At 46.9% G+C, this 17,633-nt stretch overlaps 4 pseudogenes; 2 read left to right on the top strand and 2 right to left on the bottom strand.

Moving 5' to 3' along the window:
* Nucleotides 1-280: 280 nt before the first annotated feature.
* CDC27P7 (cell division cycle 27 pseudogene 7) lies at nt 281-2,236 on the bottom strand (annotated as a pseudogene).
* Nucleotides 2,237-3,522: 1,286 nt separating this feature from the next.
* LOC102723688 (serine/arginine repetitive matrix protein 1-like) lies at nt 3,523-9,377 on the bottom strand (annotated as a pseudogene).
* LOC110467534 (RNA, 18S ribosomal pseudogene) lies at nt 7,181-9,029 on the top strand (annotated as a pseudogene).
* On the top strand, nt 10,070-10,220 carry LOC110467520 (RNA, 5.8S ribosomal pseudogene; annotated as a pseudogene).

The raw sequence follows: 17,633 nt of genomic DNA, 5'->3' as shown, positions 1-17,633 counted from the left end.
ACAAACAAATAAAACACAATTACAGTATCTGCAAAAGTTTGGTAGAAGACTGAAACTGTTCAGTATAAGGATCTGGTATTCTATTATCATTAGTTAACTGAAGATTTTGTTAAAGACATACATTTCCTAAGAAAACATGTTAGTTTGAAGTTATTGACCAGTATGTACCATCCCTAAATATTAGTAACCAAATTCATGACAATAAAAGAGCTATCTAACAAGAAAAATTAGTGACTACCAGCACCATCTACAAGACTTTGTCTTTACACTTCATTACCACTTACTGTGCATTACAATGTCTAGGATTGACTCTGATAGCATTTCAAAAACAAGCTAATGCTTTGTCCAATTCTTCAGTTAAGACAAACTCTCGCCCTAATAGAGTATAGGCATAAGCATAATTTGGATCCACCTGGATAGCTCTCTGGAAGAATTTAATTGCAATATCGTGTTCCCATTGCAGACTGAAACAGTTCCCTGCAGCACACCAGGGCTCTGGAGGATTTTTATCCATGTCTGTTAAGTCTTTTGACAGAACTGAAAGAGCACCATCTTTTTGAAGATGCCAAAATGTTGTAGAGTAGATTTCCATGCCTTCGACTCTATAATTCTCCATCCTTCAAACCTCTGAGAATATTCTTTCAGCTTGCATGTACTCTGGAAGTTCAAAATAGACCCTTCCAATTTGGCACAGTACCCAACCAGTATTGTAGTGGTGAGAAGGTAGATGGCTCAAAATATTTATAGCTTCTTTGCAGTGGTATGAACACAAAGCTAAATAACCTTTTCCCCTTTCACGAAGAAGGCTCATCAAGCCTTCTGCTGCTGCTTTTTATGATTAAAAGCCTGAATCTGAGGTGTGATTGTGGATATTTTCTCTTGTGAAATGATGAAAGAGTCCAATTTTGTAATTTCCAGGCTATCATTTATGTTAGGTTGAGTTATTCCTCCTTTATTAGTTTTACTTTTTGTTTTCCTGTTTGGGATTTTAGGTGGAAACTTCATTTTTAATTTCTTCCTATTCTCCCTGGTTGTGGAACTGTCACTGGTAAAGAGTCGTGAACTTCTTCAATGCAGCACATTTGGGGGAGATGCCATAGTGGGGCTCAATACCTGAGGTGATGTACTTATTTGTGGACGAGAACTTTGTGTTTGTGCAAGAATTGGAGTTACCTCTCGGCTATTTCCACTCTGTGAGAAGACAGACTTTGCTCCAGTTTGGCCGATTCTGGCAACAGACTTTTTTGAAGGGGATCCGGTGGATGGCACATCAATTTCAGAAGGTGTATTAGTGTAGTTTTGTAAATAGGATCCATCTCCAGGACTTGGGGTTTCTAATGGCAAAATCCCAAAACTTGGGGTTAATGGACTAAGAGCTGCTAGTTCTCCTAATAAACTTTGACCAGTTTTTGGTTTATTTTGAACCTGTTTAGAAAATATGGAAGTTCCTGTTCCCAGTGGGAGAGTGTCAGGTGAAATTACAGCTGAATCAATAGAAGACACTTGGGAATCTGTATTCAAGGAGTACTTTGAATTGGAAGATTCTAAATTCAATCTGTTTAATTCAGTTGTGTCCTGTGGTGTTTCCGTGAGAACAGTCTCAGGCTGTCTGTGACATAAACTATGATTAGGTATTTGTGCTGTGCAAGAGTTGGGCAGACAGTTGCTAAAGTTCTGTGAAGTTGTGAATTTAAATGTTTGGGGGCAGGATCTGGCTTTTCACCTATTTCACATAATGATTCGAAGGGATACCAGAGGAAAGGATTTCAACTAAGGCTCTTTTGGTAACATTCTGATCCTTTGGCAAGCCAATCTGTCTTGCAATATACATGTCCCAACAATGGAAGGGGAAAGCAAGCTCAATCACCAAACTCAGTAACAATATCATCATGGCTTTTCTGCTTATGAAACACTCCACCAGATAAGATTTGTTCCCCTTCTGCAAGCTTGCTAAGATCAACACAACATTTTGCAAGCAGGTATTTGCATTGCGGTGTAGGACAACTGTGTCCTTCCAAGAGTCTATATGCTTTATAGGCCTTTTCTGGGCGGTAAGAACAGGTCGCCTGTAAAAACAAGGCTTCTTCTGAGTGTACTTCTGCATAAAGGCATTCTGCGAGGAAAACCCCATCTCGGTAAGCATAGTGGTTTAGTGCTTGCCATATAGCAGCCTGGACGGGTTCCTGCAGCACCGTCATCCTCGAGGCTCAGACCCACTTTCTGCAGTGCCTCAGGCACCCCCCCACCCCGCCCACCCCCCTCCCCCCCGTAGCAGCTCTGGCCTTGCCAGCCTTAGCTCATTTAAACTCACCAGTTTTGTAGGTTGCCTGTCCACTCTGATGGTAGTTTCTTTTGTTGTGCAGAAGCTCTTTAGTTTAATTAGATCCCATTTGTCAAATTTGGCTTTCGTTGCCATTGCTTTTGGTGTTTTAGACATGAAGTCCTTGCCCATGCCTATGTCCTGAATGGTAATGCCTAGGTTTTCTTCTAGTATTTTCATAGTTTTAGGTCTAACATTTAGGTCTTTAATCCATCTTGAATTGATTTTTGTATAAGGTGTAAGGAAGGGATCCAGTTTCAGCTTTCTACATATGGCTAGCCAGTTTTCCCAGCACCATTTATTAAATAGGGAATCCTTTCCCCATTGCTTGTTTTTCTCAGGTTTGTCAAAGATCAGATAGTTGTAGATATGCGGCATTATTTCTGAGGGCTCTGTTCTGTTCCATTGATCTATATCTCTGCTTTGGTACCAGTACCATGCTGTTTTGGTTACTGTAGCCTTGTAGTATAGTTTGAAGTCAGGTAGTGTGATGCCTCCAGCTTTGTTCTTTTGGCTTAGGATTGACTTGGCGATGCAGGATCTTTTTTGGTTCCATATGAACTTTAAAGTAGTTTTTTCCAATTCTGTGAAGAAAGTCATTGGTAGCTTGATGGGGATGGCAAAGGAATCTAGAACTAGAAATACGATTTGACCCAGCCATCCCATTACTGGGTATATACCCAAAGGACTATAAATCATGCTGCTATAAAGACTTATGCACACGTATGTTTATTGCGGCATTATTCACAATAGCAAAGACTTGGAACCAACCCAAATGTCCAACAATGATAGACTCAATTAAGAAATTGTGGCACATATACACTATGGAATACTATGCAGCCATAAAAAATGATGAGTTCATGTACTTTGTAGGGACATGGATGAAACTGGAAATCATCATTCTCAGTAAACTATCGCAAGAATAAAAAACCAAACATTGCATATTCTCACTCATAGGTGGGAATTGAACAATGAGAACACATGGACACAGGAAGGGGCACATCACACTCTGGGGACTGTTGTGGGGTGGGGGAAGGTAGGAGGGATAGCATTAGGAGATATACCTAATGCTAGATGATGAGTTAGTGGGTGCAGTACACCAGCATGGCACATGTATACATATGTAACTAACCTGCACATTGTGCACAGGTACCCTAAAACTTAAAGTATAATAATAATAAAAATAAAAATAATAAATAAACTCACCAGTTACCAGGGGATGGGGGAGGCTGAGCCAGAATGACTTCTTTAGCCTGCCGACTCTGGAAAGCCCAACCCCTTGTGATCCATGGCAAAGTGAGAGTCACCTCATGTTTGGAAAACAGATCCACTCTTAAGTTCAGTGGAGGGATGTGGCATATAGGACGAAGGACTCTCTTCATTCTGATTCGGTCTGCACAGTGGGTCCTAAGGCTGGAGCTCTCTCTGTGTGGACTGCTGACTCCCTCTACCTTGGGTTCCATCGGCCCCACCCTGGGACACTTGCCTTGGCAGATTCTGGCCCTTCTGGCCCTTAAGTCGCTGTCAGAAACCTCATCTCGCGCTCGGATGCCCCGAATGACTGTGGCTCGCGCATCTCTGGAAACATTGGAAATCTCTCCTCTACGCACGGCCACCTAAAACCACAGGAGCTCGGGACACATGGCTGCCATCCACCTCACTGCTTTCGGGAGAGAATGCTGAGAGTCTCTTACAAACTCTCTCTTGACTTGAGTTCTTCATGGGTGTGTGGTTAAGACATAGTGAGACCAGATGTATTAACTCAGGTCGGGTGCTGGTGTCTCACGCCTGTAACCCCAACACTTTGGGAGGCCGAGGCCATAGGATCCCTTGAGGAATCGCCTAACCCTGGGGAGGTTGAGGCTGCAGTGAGTGAGCCATAATGGTGTCACTGCACTCCAGTCTGGGAGAAAGACAGAGTGAGGCCCTGTCACAGGCAGGCAGGCAGGCAGGCAGACAGACAACAGTTGTATTATATTCTTCTCTGGGTAGGAAGTAAAAATAACAGAATAAAGTGCTTAATTTTTTTTTTTTTTTTTTGAGACGGAGTTTCACTGTTGTTGCCCATGCTGGAGTGCAATGGCACCATCTCGGCTCACCGCAACCTCCACCTCCCGTGTTCAAGCGATTCTCCTGCCTCAGCCTCCTGAGTAGCTGGGATTACAGGCATGTGTCACCACACCCGGCTGATTTTGTATTGTTAGTAGAGACGGCATTTCTCCATGTGGGTCAGGCGGGTCTCAAACTGGCCACCTCAGGTGATCTGCCCACCTCGGCCTCCCAAAGTGCTGGGATGACAGGCGTGAACATTTGAGCCCTGCCAGCTACGTTTTTTATAAATTTTCAATTTTAATCTATTATTATTATTTCTTTTTTGAGATGGAGTCTCACTCTGTTGCCCAGACTGGAGTGCAGTGGCATGATGTCGGCTCACTGCAAGCTCTGCCTCCCGGGTTCATGCCATTCTCCTGTCTCAGCCTCCCAAGTAGCTGGGACTACTGGCATCTGCCACAGCGCCTGGCTAATTTTTGGTATTTTGAGTAGAGACAGGGTTTCACTGTGGTAGCCAGGATGGTCTCGATCTCCTGACCGTCGTGATCCGCCTGCCTCGGCCTCTCAAAGTGCTGGGATTACAGGCGTAAGCCACAGCTCCCGGCCTACTTATCTATTTATTAACTTTGAGTCCAGTTTATGAAACCAGTTAGTTTTCGTATTTTTTTAGAGAAGAGGTTTCACCATGTTGCCAAGGCTTGGATCGAGGGATCCACCTTCCCTTGCCTCCCAAAGTGCAGGGATGACAGGCGTGAGCCTACCAAGCCCGGCTCCTCCCCTTCATCCCCCAGCTTATCCCTCAGGTGCCCGAGGTCGAGCGGTGGTGTGTGGTTCCCACCCTCAGCGCCCCCTCCTCCGGTCACCGCCGCGATGTCCACGAGTGGGTCCTGAGGGAGCTCGTTGGTGTAGGGGTTGAGGCGGTTGAGTGAGACGCGCTCCTCCCACGCGGGGAAGAGTGCTGCCTGATCTGGCGAGCGCAGGGCCCGTGCTCCTCTCTGGCGGGTGCGCGCGGGCCGTGTGAGCTATTGCGGTGGGCTGGGTCAGATGACGCGTGCGCCGTCCGGCAGCCGAGGGGCTACCGTTCTGCCTCCGACAGGTTGTGTGTGGGTTTACTTGGAGGTGCTTTGCCTGGGAGAAAGGAGGCTGGTCGACGGGGGGGCCCTTGTGGGATTGCGCACACGTGCAGCGGCCAGGCCCCCTGCCCAGACCGCGAAGGCTCAAGGTTGCCGCACGCAGATTTTTCCTGGTACAGCAGGCCCCCTCCCTTCCCCAGGCGTCCCTGTGCGCCTCTGCGGGCCCGACGAGGGGCGACTGGCATGTGGGAACTGTGACTCACCCTCAGTGAGAAAGCCTTCTCTAGCGATCTGAGAGGTGTGCCTTTGGGGTACCGGATCCCCCGGCCTGCCGCCTCTCTCTGCGTTATGGTAGCGCTGCCGTGGCGACTGGCTTGCAGAGGACCCTCCTCCACTGCCCCCTTGATGGGGTGAGGGGGGGAGAGCAAGGGTTCCGCCAGCCTCCACGGTGGGGACCCAGGGAAGCTCGTCGCCTACTGTGTGGCCCGCGCCTCCCCCTTCCGAGTCGGGGGAGGATCCCGCCGGGCCGGGCCGGGCCGGCGTCCTAGCATTTGGGAGGCTGCGTGAGCGGTGGCTGTGCCTGGCGTTCAGTCCAGCTTGTGACCCATTCCGCTGTGAGCCGGCTCTCTGCCCGCTCCCCTGCAGAGCAGCGACCGGTGCCGACGACCGCGTTTGCGTGGCACGAGGTTGGGCCACCTGGCCCTGGGAAGCATCCCAAGTGGGGGGCATGTCGGTCTCCTGGAGCTTGACCGGGTTGGAGGATGGATGAGAAACGAGCAACGTGGCCCTGGCGTTGGGTTTGTGGCTGAGGTCGCCTCGGGGTCCTGATGGCGGGACCCGGGGCTCATGAGGCGGGTCTTGGTGGGTGCCGAGGGCCATCCGGCATCCTAGGCGGGTCACTGCGGGACCTCCCTCGTGTCTGTGGTGGTGGGATCCCGTGGCCGTGTTTTCCTGGTGGCCCGGCCATGCCTGAGGTTTCTCCCCGAGCCGCCCCTCTGCGGGCTTCCAGGTGCCCTTGCCCTCATGGTCCCTGTGCCCCCCTCCCCGCCCGCGTATCCTCTCTCCCCGAGCAGCTCACCGGCTTAGGCTGTGGTGGCCCCGTCTGGGACCAAACCCGGCTCCGCCTTGTGTGGCGCTGCCGCCGGCCACTGGTTGGCCCATTGTCCATGTCCCCGGGCGTGCGCCTTCGGGACCAGGTCGGCGGCACCCCGAGTGGGCCTGGTGGGCACCCGGAAGGTTTGGGGTTGGCCAGCAGTGCGTGCAGGGAAGAGGGTTCAGGGGGCTGGCCTCGACAGTGGCGGTGGTGGGGGAGCCGCAGGCCCGCGGAAGGCCAGTCGGCCACTCCAGGTGCCGCTCGGGGCCGCCTTCATGCTCGGAGGCCACTGGCTGTGAGACCCCAGGCACCGCGGTCCGCCTCTCGTTCGCTGCCCAAACGTCGGGGCCGCCCAGCGCCCTCCGCGCATGAGTGGCCGCTGGTCCCTCACGGCTGCCGCACACGGGTCGGGCGGTTGGCCTCCTCGCACATGGGCACGAAGGGTCGGGAGTGGTGAGCCCGTCGGGGGGTGTTGTGTCCTGTGGGTGGATGGGATGTCCGGTTCGCCGCCCCACCACCCCCCTCCCACCACCCGGAGCTCCTCCCTCCCTACCCCACGCCCCATCGCCCGCCCTGCCACGCCCAATCTCGCAACTGGGACGCCGGGCTCATCCTCGCGAGTCCCAGAGGCCGCTTTCTACCTACCTGGTTGATTCTATCAGAACCATATGCTTGTCTCAAAGATTAAGCCATACATGTCTAAGTATGCAGGGCCGGTACAGTAAAACTGTGAATGGCTCATTAAATCAGTTATGGTTCTTTTGGTCGCTGGCTCCTCTTCTACTTGGAAAACTGTGGTAATTCTAGAGCTATTACATGCCGAAGGGCACTGACCCCCTTCACGGGGAAGATGCATGCATTTATCAGATCAAAACCAACCCAGTCAGCCCCTCTCCGGCCCCGGCCGGGGGGTCGGGTGCCGCCAGCTTTGGTGCCTCTGGATAACCTCAGGCCAATCGCATGCCCCCCGTGGCAGCGATGACCCATTCGAACGTCTGCCCTATCAACTTTCTATGGTAGTCGCTGTGCCTACCATGGTGACCACGGGTGACAGGGAATTAGGGTTCAATTCTGGAGAAGGAGACTTAGAAACGGCTACCACATTCAAGGAAGGCAGCAGACACTCAAATTACCCACTCCTGACACGGGAGGTAGTGACAAAAAATAACAATACAGGACTCTTTCAAGGCCCTGTAATTGGAATGAGTCCACTTTAAATCTTTTAATGAGGATCCATTGGAGGGAAAGTCTGGTGCCAGCAGCCATGGTAATTCCAGCTCCAATAGCGTATATTAAAGTTGTTGCAGTTAAAAAGCTCGTAGTTGAATCTTGGGAACGGGTGGGCTAGCGAGCCACAGCCTGTCCCTGCTTCTTGCCTCTCGGTGCCCCCTGGATGCTCTTAGCTGAGTGTCCTGCGGCCCGAAGCGTTTACTTTGAAAAAATTAGAGTGTTCAAAGCAGGCCCAAGCCGCCTGGATACTGCAGCTTGGAATAATGGAATAGGACCACGGTTCTATTTTGTTGGTTTTCGGAACTGAGGCCATTATTAAGAGGGACGGCCGGGGGCATTCATATTGCACCGCTAGAGGTGAAATTCTTGGACTGGCACAGTTTGGACCAGAGCGAAAGCATTTGCCAAGAATGTTTTCATTAATCAAGAACGAAAGTCAGAGGTTCGAAGACGATCAGATACCGTTGTAGTTCCGACCATAAACGATGCCGACTGGCGATGTGGCAGCGTTATTCCCATGACCCGCTGGGCAGCTTCCAAGAAACCAAAGTCTTTGGGTTTTTGGGTTCCGAGGGGAGTATGGTTGCAAAGCTGAAACTTAAAGGAATTGACAGAAGGGCACCACCAGGAGTGGAGCCTGCATCTTAATTTGACTCAACATGGGAAAACTCACCTGGCCTGGACACGGACAGGATTGACAGATTGATAGCTCTTTCTCAATTCCACAGGTGGTGGTGCATGGCCTTAGTTGCTGGAGTGATTTGTCTGGTTAATTCCAATAATGAACGAGACTCTGGCATGCCAACTAGTTATGCGACCCCCGAGTGGTTGGCATCCCCCAACTTCTTAGAGGGACAAGTTTAGCCACCTGAGATTGAGCAATAACAGGTCTGTGATGCCCTTAAATGTCCAGGGCTGCACGTGCGCTGCACTGACTGGCTCAGCGTGTGCCTACCCTATGTGGCAGATGTGGGTAACCTGTTGAACCTCATTGGCAATGGTGATCATTGATTGCAATTTTTCCCCATGAATGAGGAATTCCCAGTAAGTGCTGGTCATAAGCTTGCATGAAGTCCCTGTCCTTTGTACACACTGCAGGTTGCTACTCCTGATTGGATGGTTTAGTGAGGCCCTCGGATCAGCCCCTCCGGGTCAGCCCACTGCCCTGTCGGAACGCTGAGAAGACAGTCGAACTTGACTATCTAGAGGAAGTAAAAGTCGTAACAAAGTTTCGGTAGGTGAACCTGCGGAGGGATCATTAACAGAGAAGAGCAAAGCCATGGAGATGCCGCCATGTCCTTCCTCCTTGGCTGACTGTGTTCCCCTGTGGCGCATGCATGGGTGGGGTCATGCCCTTTGTTCGTTGCATGGCCCCATCTGCCCCGAGAGCCAGAGAACTCAGAAGGGAGAGAGGGGGTAGAGAGAGACATGCGTGTGGGGATGAAACTGTGTGCTTGTCGTGGGGTGGGCTGGATGGCTCGCCGGCCTGGTGAGCAGTGGGGAGCGGTCCCCTGTTGTGGCCCCCATGTGTGCGTCGGTGGGCGCGGGGGTGGTTCTCGGCGTCATGGTGGGGTGGGGGTCTCGGTGCCCTCCCCACTGGGGCCGTCATCATGCCCTGTCGCACTGTCTTGGCCCCATCCCGCCCGCTCCCGTTGGGGCTGGCCAGGTTCCCATCGCTGCCGCTGCCACCATCGTCGCCTCTGTCAAACCATGCCACTGGCCCGGCCCAGCCTGCTTGCTCTCCCCAGCCTTCCCGCTAGGGGGTCTCGAGGGTAGGGGGCTGGACGCCGGTCCCACCCCCCTCATCCGCCCCCACCATCCAGGTACCTAGCGCATTCTGGTGCGGAGGTTTAAGGACCCCTTGGGGGGTCGCCAGTCTGCCTGTGGGTCAGGTGCAGTGGGCCCTCAGTGGAGTCCGTTCAGGAGGGGCCCGCCCCTCCCTCGCCTCCCCTGCTGACTCCATCCCCCCGGCCAGCCGGGGGCCACGCCACACTTGCGTGTCGCCGCTGATGCCGGTGGGGGCTTTACCCAGCGGCCATCGTGCTGTCACACATGCCTTGCATGTGGCCTGTACCCCGCACTGTGGGGGCGGGAACCCCTGGGCTCCCATGGGGTGGTGTCAGCCTTTGTCCCCCCCGTGGTTGGCACCACCTCCCTGTGTTGTGAAACCTTCCAACCCCTCTCTGGAGTCTGGTCCCGTTGCTGTCTGACTGGCCGGCCTGAGGTAACCCCTCTGGGGGACGTGCTGTGCCAGGAGGGCCTCCCGTTGTTGGGAGTGCCCTCGCCAAATCAACCTTGTATGACTTTTAGTGGTGGATCACTCAGCTCCTGCATCAATGAAGAATGCAGCTAGCTGGGAGAATTAATGTGAACTGCAGGACACATTGATCATCGACACTTGAATGCACTTGTGGCCTGGGTTCCTCCCAGGGCTATGCCTGTCTGAGCGTCGCTTGCCGATCAAAATTCCCCAGGGTTGCCTCTGGGCTCCTTGGGGTGCCCAGCTGTTCTGTGGCAGGGCCCACAGGGCCCTCTGTCCCCCCAAGTGCAGACCGGTGACATCCGCCCTCCTCTCCCACTGTGCCCGTCCCTTCCCCCTCCCCCCGCAGGCCCTGTGTGGTCACGCGTTGGGTGGCGTGGGGAAGGGGGGCTCCCGGCTGTGAGGAAGAGAGAGAGGGCAGCACCGCCACTTGTGAAAACAGAAAGGGAAGATAGCCGGCTGTGGCTGAGTTCCTGTGGCCACCTTCATGGTCTGGGATCCTCCCTTGGGGGCTCCCTCATGCCTCATGCAGCTCATGGTGCAGGGTTCATTGGCCCTGGCGGGGTGGAAGGTCCCATGCCGTCGTTGTCTCATGTCGTCGGTGGTGGAGGCTTGCTGGGGGTTGGGAGGAAGGCAAATAGGAAGGGTCCACCGGGGAGAGGGTGGGGGAGCACGTCCCAGTCGCTGCGGTTCACCGTCCACCCCTGGAGGCGGCCCAGTGACTGGCTGACCGCAGCTCCAGTGCCCCTCGTCCCCAACACTCCTCTGAGGCACCATCCTCCTCGCCCGCCCACCCCCTGCCCACCCCCCGCCCGCCCGGCACGTCATGGTGTGTCCGGGCCCGGAAGCCTGCCACACGGCCCGTCTGGCAGTGCTCGTGGCCATGGTCCCATGGTTCGCTTGCCCCTGCTGGAGATCCGCTGGACGCTGTGGTGTCGTCCACTATCGCGTGCCCACCTCCGGCTCTGGGCCACGCGGTGCCTGGGGCCCCATCCGGAGCTTCCATGTTGGGGCAGGGCAGCACCGCCGCATCCTCGGACCCATGCCCCACCTCCATTTAGTACGTAGGCAATCTCATGTAACTTAACAAAGCTAGCATGTCCCTAGACTTGGTGCAGCCACTGTAGGGGTGGCCTCCCAGTAGCATCATTAACATCAATTGTAATTGGTAGGCAATCACTTAGTTTCACATTTCATTACCCGAGTTACACAAAAGTGTAAAAAAATACAGTTTTAATAAAAGGGAGTAAAAGATAATATGAGTAATATTCACAATATCTAGTTGGAAGAGGTAGTGTTTTCTCAGAAATGATGCATTCCTGGAACAAGGTCATTTTGTGTTTGGTTTGTTAAATATCTATTTCCATTTTGACAAACCACTGGAAAAGCCCAGCTTCACAAGGATTCTCCATGAGAACGATCACATAAAAGAACATCCATAACATAAAATCAAAACAAGGGTGGTCCAGTCGTCACATTAAAGGCTCATTACCAAGTTTTCTTAGAAGAGATAAAGAACACAAAGTTACTTTTATGTGATGGAAAACAGAGAGAAAGAGTAAATGCAACAATAAATGTTAGGCAACAACAGTGAAAACAAAGCTGTGGAAAAAAATGAATGGAATTGTTTTGTTTGGTATTGATTTCCTATCCTGATATCAGAAAGTATGGGAAAGAACAAAGCACATTTTCTGAGACAAATAGAACATAAAACAGATGAATGTTAAAGACTATTTTACAGTGCTAACAAAACTATCTGTGGCTTGTTTTTTCCCTTTAAAGATACGATTTTGTACAATTACATTTATATAAATTATTGAAATAAAATTGTAAAGATGGAGAACAGACTATGGGGTTGCCAAGGGGAAGGGGTGGAGGAAAATGTGTTAGAGTGTCAGCAAAGATCCCAAGATGGAGCCTGATGGTGAGGCTACAGTTCTGCATCTTGACTGTCGAAGTGGTAGTTACAGAGATCTACACCACATAAAAATGAACAGAACACCCGCACACGCATACACACGTACAAAAATGAATGCATGCAAAACAGTTGCGATCTGAGTAAGCTTTCTGAATTGTACCTATGTCAGTTTCCAGGTTTTGATAATGCTCTATGGCTATGCGAGATGTCACCACTGGAATTAGTGAAGAGTACCTAAGACATCCCTGTACCTTTTGCAACTTCCTGTGAATCTATAATTATTTCAAAAGAAACTTGAAAGTCATAGCAGACTTTCACTTCAAAGAGGAAAAAAACTGAAGATTAATGAAATTGTTGAAGAACATCAAATATTCAATAGTCTGTATGAGAGCTGTATCCTGTCCACTCGCAGCACAGCTGTCATTTAGCCTTTTTCTGACGTGCCCTGGAGGACTTGAGCTCCTCTTGGATTGCCAAGGCCAATAGTGTTTCTTTGTTACTAACTTTGTACTGGACCCCCAAAAATGAAAAGTGATTGAATAATCATTTATAATAACTACTAGTAATTTTACTTATAAAGAGACAATAGTGGTAACCAATTTAAATATTTAGGGTAAAGAATAGGATCTTTGTAAGACAATACTGGCAAAATTTTAAAAGAAAAAATAAGGAATCAGAAACGTAAGTAGTTCAGTATTGTGAAAAAATTCTGGATCTGAGAAGCAAAAGAACAGAGATTGTATTGCGTTTCTGCTCCAAACCTGATGAATCACCTTAGCTGTGTTTTGTTTCTGCACCAAAGCTGCAGAATCACCTTAGGCAATGCATGCCATTTCCCTGAATCTGTTTTCTTTTCTACAAAATAAAGTGAACTAGATCATCTCCAAGGTCCCCCAAATATTCACATTTTGGGCTCTACATGAACTTCTGTTGAATTCCTCATTTCAGTGTGGATAACACATGTGTGCTGCACCACAAGCAGTGTTTCTAAATGCTCATGTTGGTCCTAAAAACTAATTATGAGCAGTTTGGAAATTTTGTTGTTGTAGAATCTGCAAAGGGATATCTGTGAGCACTTTGAGGCCATGGTGAAAAAGGAAATACCTTCACATAAAAACTATAAAGAATGTTTCTGAGAAACTGCTTTGTGATGTCTGCATTCATCTCACAGAGTTAAACGTTTCATTCCCTTGATCAGTCTGGAAACTCTGTTCTTGTACAATCTGCAAAGTGATATTTGTGAGTGCTTTGAGGTCTATGGTGAAAAAGGAAATATCTTCACATAAAAACTAGACAGACGCTTTCTGAGAAACTACTTTGTGACGTGTGGATTCATCTCACAGAGTTAAACCATTCTTTTGATTGAAAAGCTTGGAAATGGTGTTTTTGTAGAATCTGCAGAGGGATATTTGTGAGCACTTTGAGGCCTATGGTGAAAAAGGAAATATCTTCACATAAAAACTAGAAAGAAGATTTATGAGAAACTGCTTTGTGATGTGGGTGTTCATGTCACAGAGGTAAATGTTTCTTTTCATTGAGCAGATTGGAAACTCTGTTCTTGTAGGATCTGCAAAGGGATATTTGTGAGCAGTTTGAGGCCTGTGGTGAAAAAGGAAATATCATCGCATAAAAACTTGACAGAAGTTTCTGAGAAAATTCCTGGTTGTGTGTGCATTCATCTCACAGAGTTGAACCATTCTTTTGATTGAGCAGTTTGGAAACAGTATTTTTGTAAAATTGGCAAAGGGATATTTGTGAGCACTTTGAGGCCAATGATGAAAAAGGAAATATCTTCACATAAAAACTAGACAGACGATTTCTGAGAAACTTTTTTTTTTGATGTGTAGTTCATCTCACAGAGTAGAACCATTCTTCTGATTGAGCAGTTTGGTAACAGTCTTCTTGTAGAATCTGCAAAGGGATATTTGTGAGCGCTTTGAAGCCTATGTTGAAAAAGGAAATGTCTTCACATAAAAACTAGAAAGAAGGTTTCTGAGAAACTGATTTGTGATGTGTGACTTCATCTCACAGAGTTGAACCTTTCTATTGATTGAGCATTTTGGAAACAGTATTTTGTAGAATCTGCAAATGGATATTTGTGAACACTTTCAGGCTTATGGTGAAAAAGGAAATATCTTCACATGAAAACTAGACAGAAGCTTTTGAGAGACATCTGTGTGATGTGTGCACTCATCTCACAGAGTTGAACCATTCCTTTGATTGAGCAATTTGGAAACAGTCTTTTTGTAGAATATGCAAAGGGATATTTGTGAACACTTTGAGACCTATGGTGAAAAAGGAAATATCTTCACATAAAAACTAGACAGAAGGTTTCTGAGAAACTGCTTTGTAATGTGTGCATTCATCTCACAGAGGTAAACGTTTCTTTTCATTGAGCAGATGGGAAACTCTTTTCTTGTGCAATCTGCAAAGGGATATTTGTGAGGAGTTTGAGGCCTATGGTGAAAAAGGAAGTATCATGGCATAAAAACTTGACAGAAGTTTCTGAGAAAGTTCATAGCTATGTGTGCATTCATCTCACAGAGTTGAACCATTCTTTTGATTGAGCAGTTTGGAAACAGTATTTTTGTAGAATTGGCAAAGGTATATTTGTCCTCTCTCTGAGGCCTATGGTGAAAAAGGAAATATCTTCAATAAAAAGTATAAAGAATGTTTCTGAGAAGCTGTTTTGCAAGGTGTGCATTTATCTCACAGAGATAAAAGTTTCTATTTTTTGACGAGTCTGGAAACTCTGTTCTTGTAAAATCTGCAAAGGGATATTTGTGAGTGGCTTGAGGCCTATGGTGAAAAAGGAAATATCTTCACATAAAAACTAGACAGAAGATTTCAGAGAAACTTCTTTGTGATATGCGCATTCATCTCACAGAGTTGAACCATTCTTTTGATTGAGAAGTTTGGAAAGAGTCTTTTTAGAGAATCTGCAAAGGGATATTTTGAGCGCTTTGATAGGTATGGTGAAAAGGGAAATATTTTCATATAAAAAACTGGACAGAAGCTTTCTGAGAAACTTCTTTGTGATGTGCGCATTCATCTCACAGAGTTGAACCTTTCTTTTGATTGAGCACTTTGGAAAGAGTCCTTTTCTAGAATCTGCAGAGGGATATTTATGAGTCCTTTATGGCCTAAGGTGAAATAGGAAATATCTTCACATAAAAACTAGACAGAAGCATTCTGAGAAACTTTTTTGTGAAGTGTGCTTTCATCTCACAGAGTTGAAGCTCTCTTTTCATTGAGGAGTTTGGAAACAGTCTTTTTTGTAGAATATGCAAATAGATATTTGGAGCGCTTTGAGGCCTATGGTGAAAAAGGAAATATCTTCACATAAAAACTAGCCAGAAGCATTCTTAGAAACTTCTTTGTGATGTATACATTCATCTCACAGAGTTGAATCTTTCTTCTGATTGAGCAGTTTCAAAACAGTCCTTTTGTAGAATCTGCAAAGGGATGTTTGTGAGCCCTTTGAGGCCTATGGTGAAATAGGAAATATCTTCACATAAAAACTAGTCAGAGGATTTCTGAGAAACTTCTTTTTGATGTGTGCTTTCATCTCACAGAGTTGAACCTTTCTTTTTATTGAGCAGTTTTGAAACACATTTTTTGTAGAATCTGCAAATGGATATTTGGAGCACTTTGAGGACTATGGTGAAAAAGGAAATATTTTCACAGAAACCTAGAAAGCAACATTCTATGAAACTTCTTTGTGATATGTGCTTTCGTTTCACAGAGTTGAACCTTTCTATTCATTGAGCAGTTTGGAAAACATCTTTTTGTAGAATCTGCAAATGGACATTTGGAGAGGTTTGAGACCTTGTTGAGAAAGGAAATATCCTCACATAAAAACTAGACAGAAGCATTCTGAGAAACTTCTTGGTGACATGTGCATTTATCATACAGAGTTGAACCTTTCTTTTGATTGAACAGTTTGGAAACAGTCTTTTTGTAGTATCTCCTAAGGGATGTTTGCATGTGGTTTGAGGCCTATGTTGAAAAAGGAAATATCTTCACATAAAAACTAGACAGAAGCTTTCTGAGAAACTTCTTTGTGATGTGTGAATTCATCTCACAGTGTTGAACCTTTCGTTGGATTGAGCAGTTTGGAAACAATTATTTTGTAGAATCTGCAAAGGTATATTTCTGAGCCCATTGAGGCCTATGGTGAATTATGAAATATCTTCACATAAAAACTAGACAGAAGGTTTCTAAGAAACTTCTTTGTGCTGCGTGCTTCCATCTCACAGAGTTGAACCTTTCTTTTGATTGAGCAGTTTGGAAACACTCTTTTTGTAGAATCTGCAAATGGATATTTGGAGGACTTTGAGGCCCATGGTAAAAAAGGAAATATCTTCACATAGAAACTAAATGGAAGCTTTCTGATCAACTTTTTTTGTGATGCATGCACTCATCTCACAGAGTTGAACCATTCTTTTGATTGAGCAGTTGGAAACAGTCTTTTTGTAGAATCCGCAAATGGGTATTTGGAGCGGTTTGAGGCCTATGGTGAAAAAGGAAAGTTCTTCACATAAAAACGAGACAGAAGCATTCTGAGAAACTTCTTTGTGATGAGAGATTTCATTTCACAGAGTTTAAACTTTCTTTTCATTGAGCAGTTTGGAAACAGTCTTTTTGTAGAATCTGCAAAGGGATATTTGTGAGCCATTTGAGGCATGTGGTGAAAAAGGAAATACCTTCACATAAAAACTAGACAGAAGCATTTTGAGAAACCTCTTTGTGATGTTTGAATTCATCTGACAGAGTTGAACCTTTCTTTTGATTGAGCAGTTTGGAGACAGTCTTTTTGTACAATCTGCAAAGGGATATTTCTGAGCCGTTTGAGGCCTATGATGAAAAAGAAATATCTTCCAATAAAAACTAGACAGAAGCATTCTTAGAAACTACTTTGTGATGTGTCCATTCATCTCACAGAGTTGAAATTTTCTTTTGATTAAGCAGTTTGGTAACAGTATTTTTGTAGCATCTGCAAATGTATATTTGTGAGCCCTTTATGGCCTATGGTGAAATAGGAAATATCTTCACATAAAAACTAGACAGTAGCTTTTTGAGAAACTTCTCTGTGATGTGTGCTTTCATCTCACAGATTTGAAAATGTTTTTCAATTGTGCAGATTGGAAACAGTCTTTTTGTAGAAACTGCAAATGGATATTTGGATCGCTTTGAGGCCTATGGTGAAAAATGAAATATCTTCACATAAAAATTAGATGGAAGCATTCTGAAAAACTTCTTTCTGACATTTGCATTCATCTCACACTGTTGAACATTTCTTTGATTGAAGATTTGGAAACACTTTTTTTTTGTAAAATCTACAAAGGGATAATTGTGAACCCTTTGAGGCCTATTGTGAAGTAGGAAATATCTTCATATAAAAACTACACAGAAACATTCTGAGAAACTTTTTTTGTGATGGGTGCATTCATCTCACACAGTTGAAGCTTTCTTTTGCTAGAGCAGTTTGGAAGCAGTCCTTTGTAGAATCCCCAAAGGGATATTTCTGAGCTCATTGAGGCCTTTGGTGATATAGAAAATATCTTCACATAAAAGCTAGACAGAAGCTTTCTGAGAAACCTCTTTTAATGAGTGCTTTCATCTCAAAGAACTGAGGGTTTCTTTTGACTGAGCAGTTTGGAAACACTCTTTTTGCAGAATCTGCA

Source organism: Homo sapiens, chromosome 22, assembly GCF_000001405.40.
Source record: "Homo sapiens chromosome 22, GRCh38.p14 Primary Assembly".
Classification (NCBI taxonomy): Eukaryota; Metazoa; Chordata; class Mammalia; order Primates; family Hominidae; genus Homo; species Homo sapiens.
Note: the sequence above shows the minus strand (reverse complement) of the source record. Positions and strands in the feature narration are given on the sequence as shown.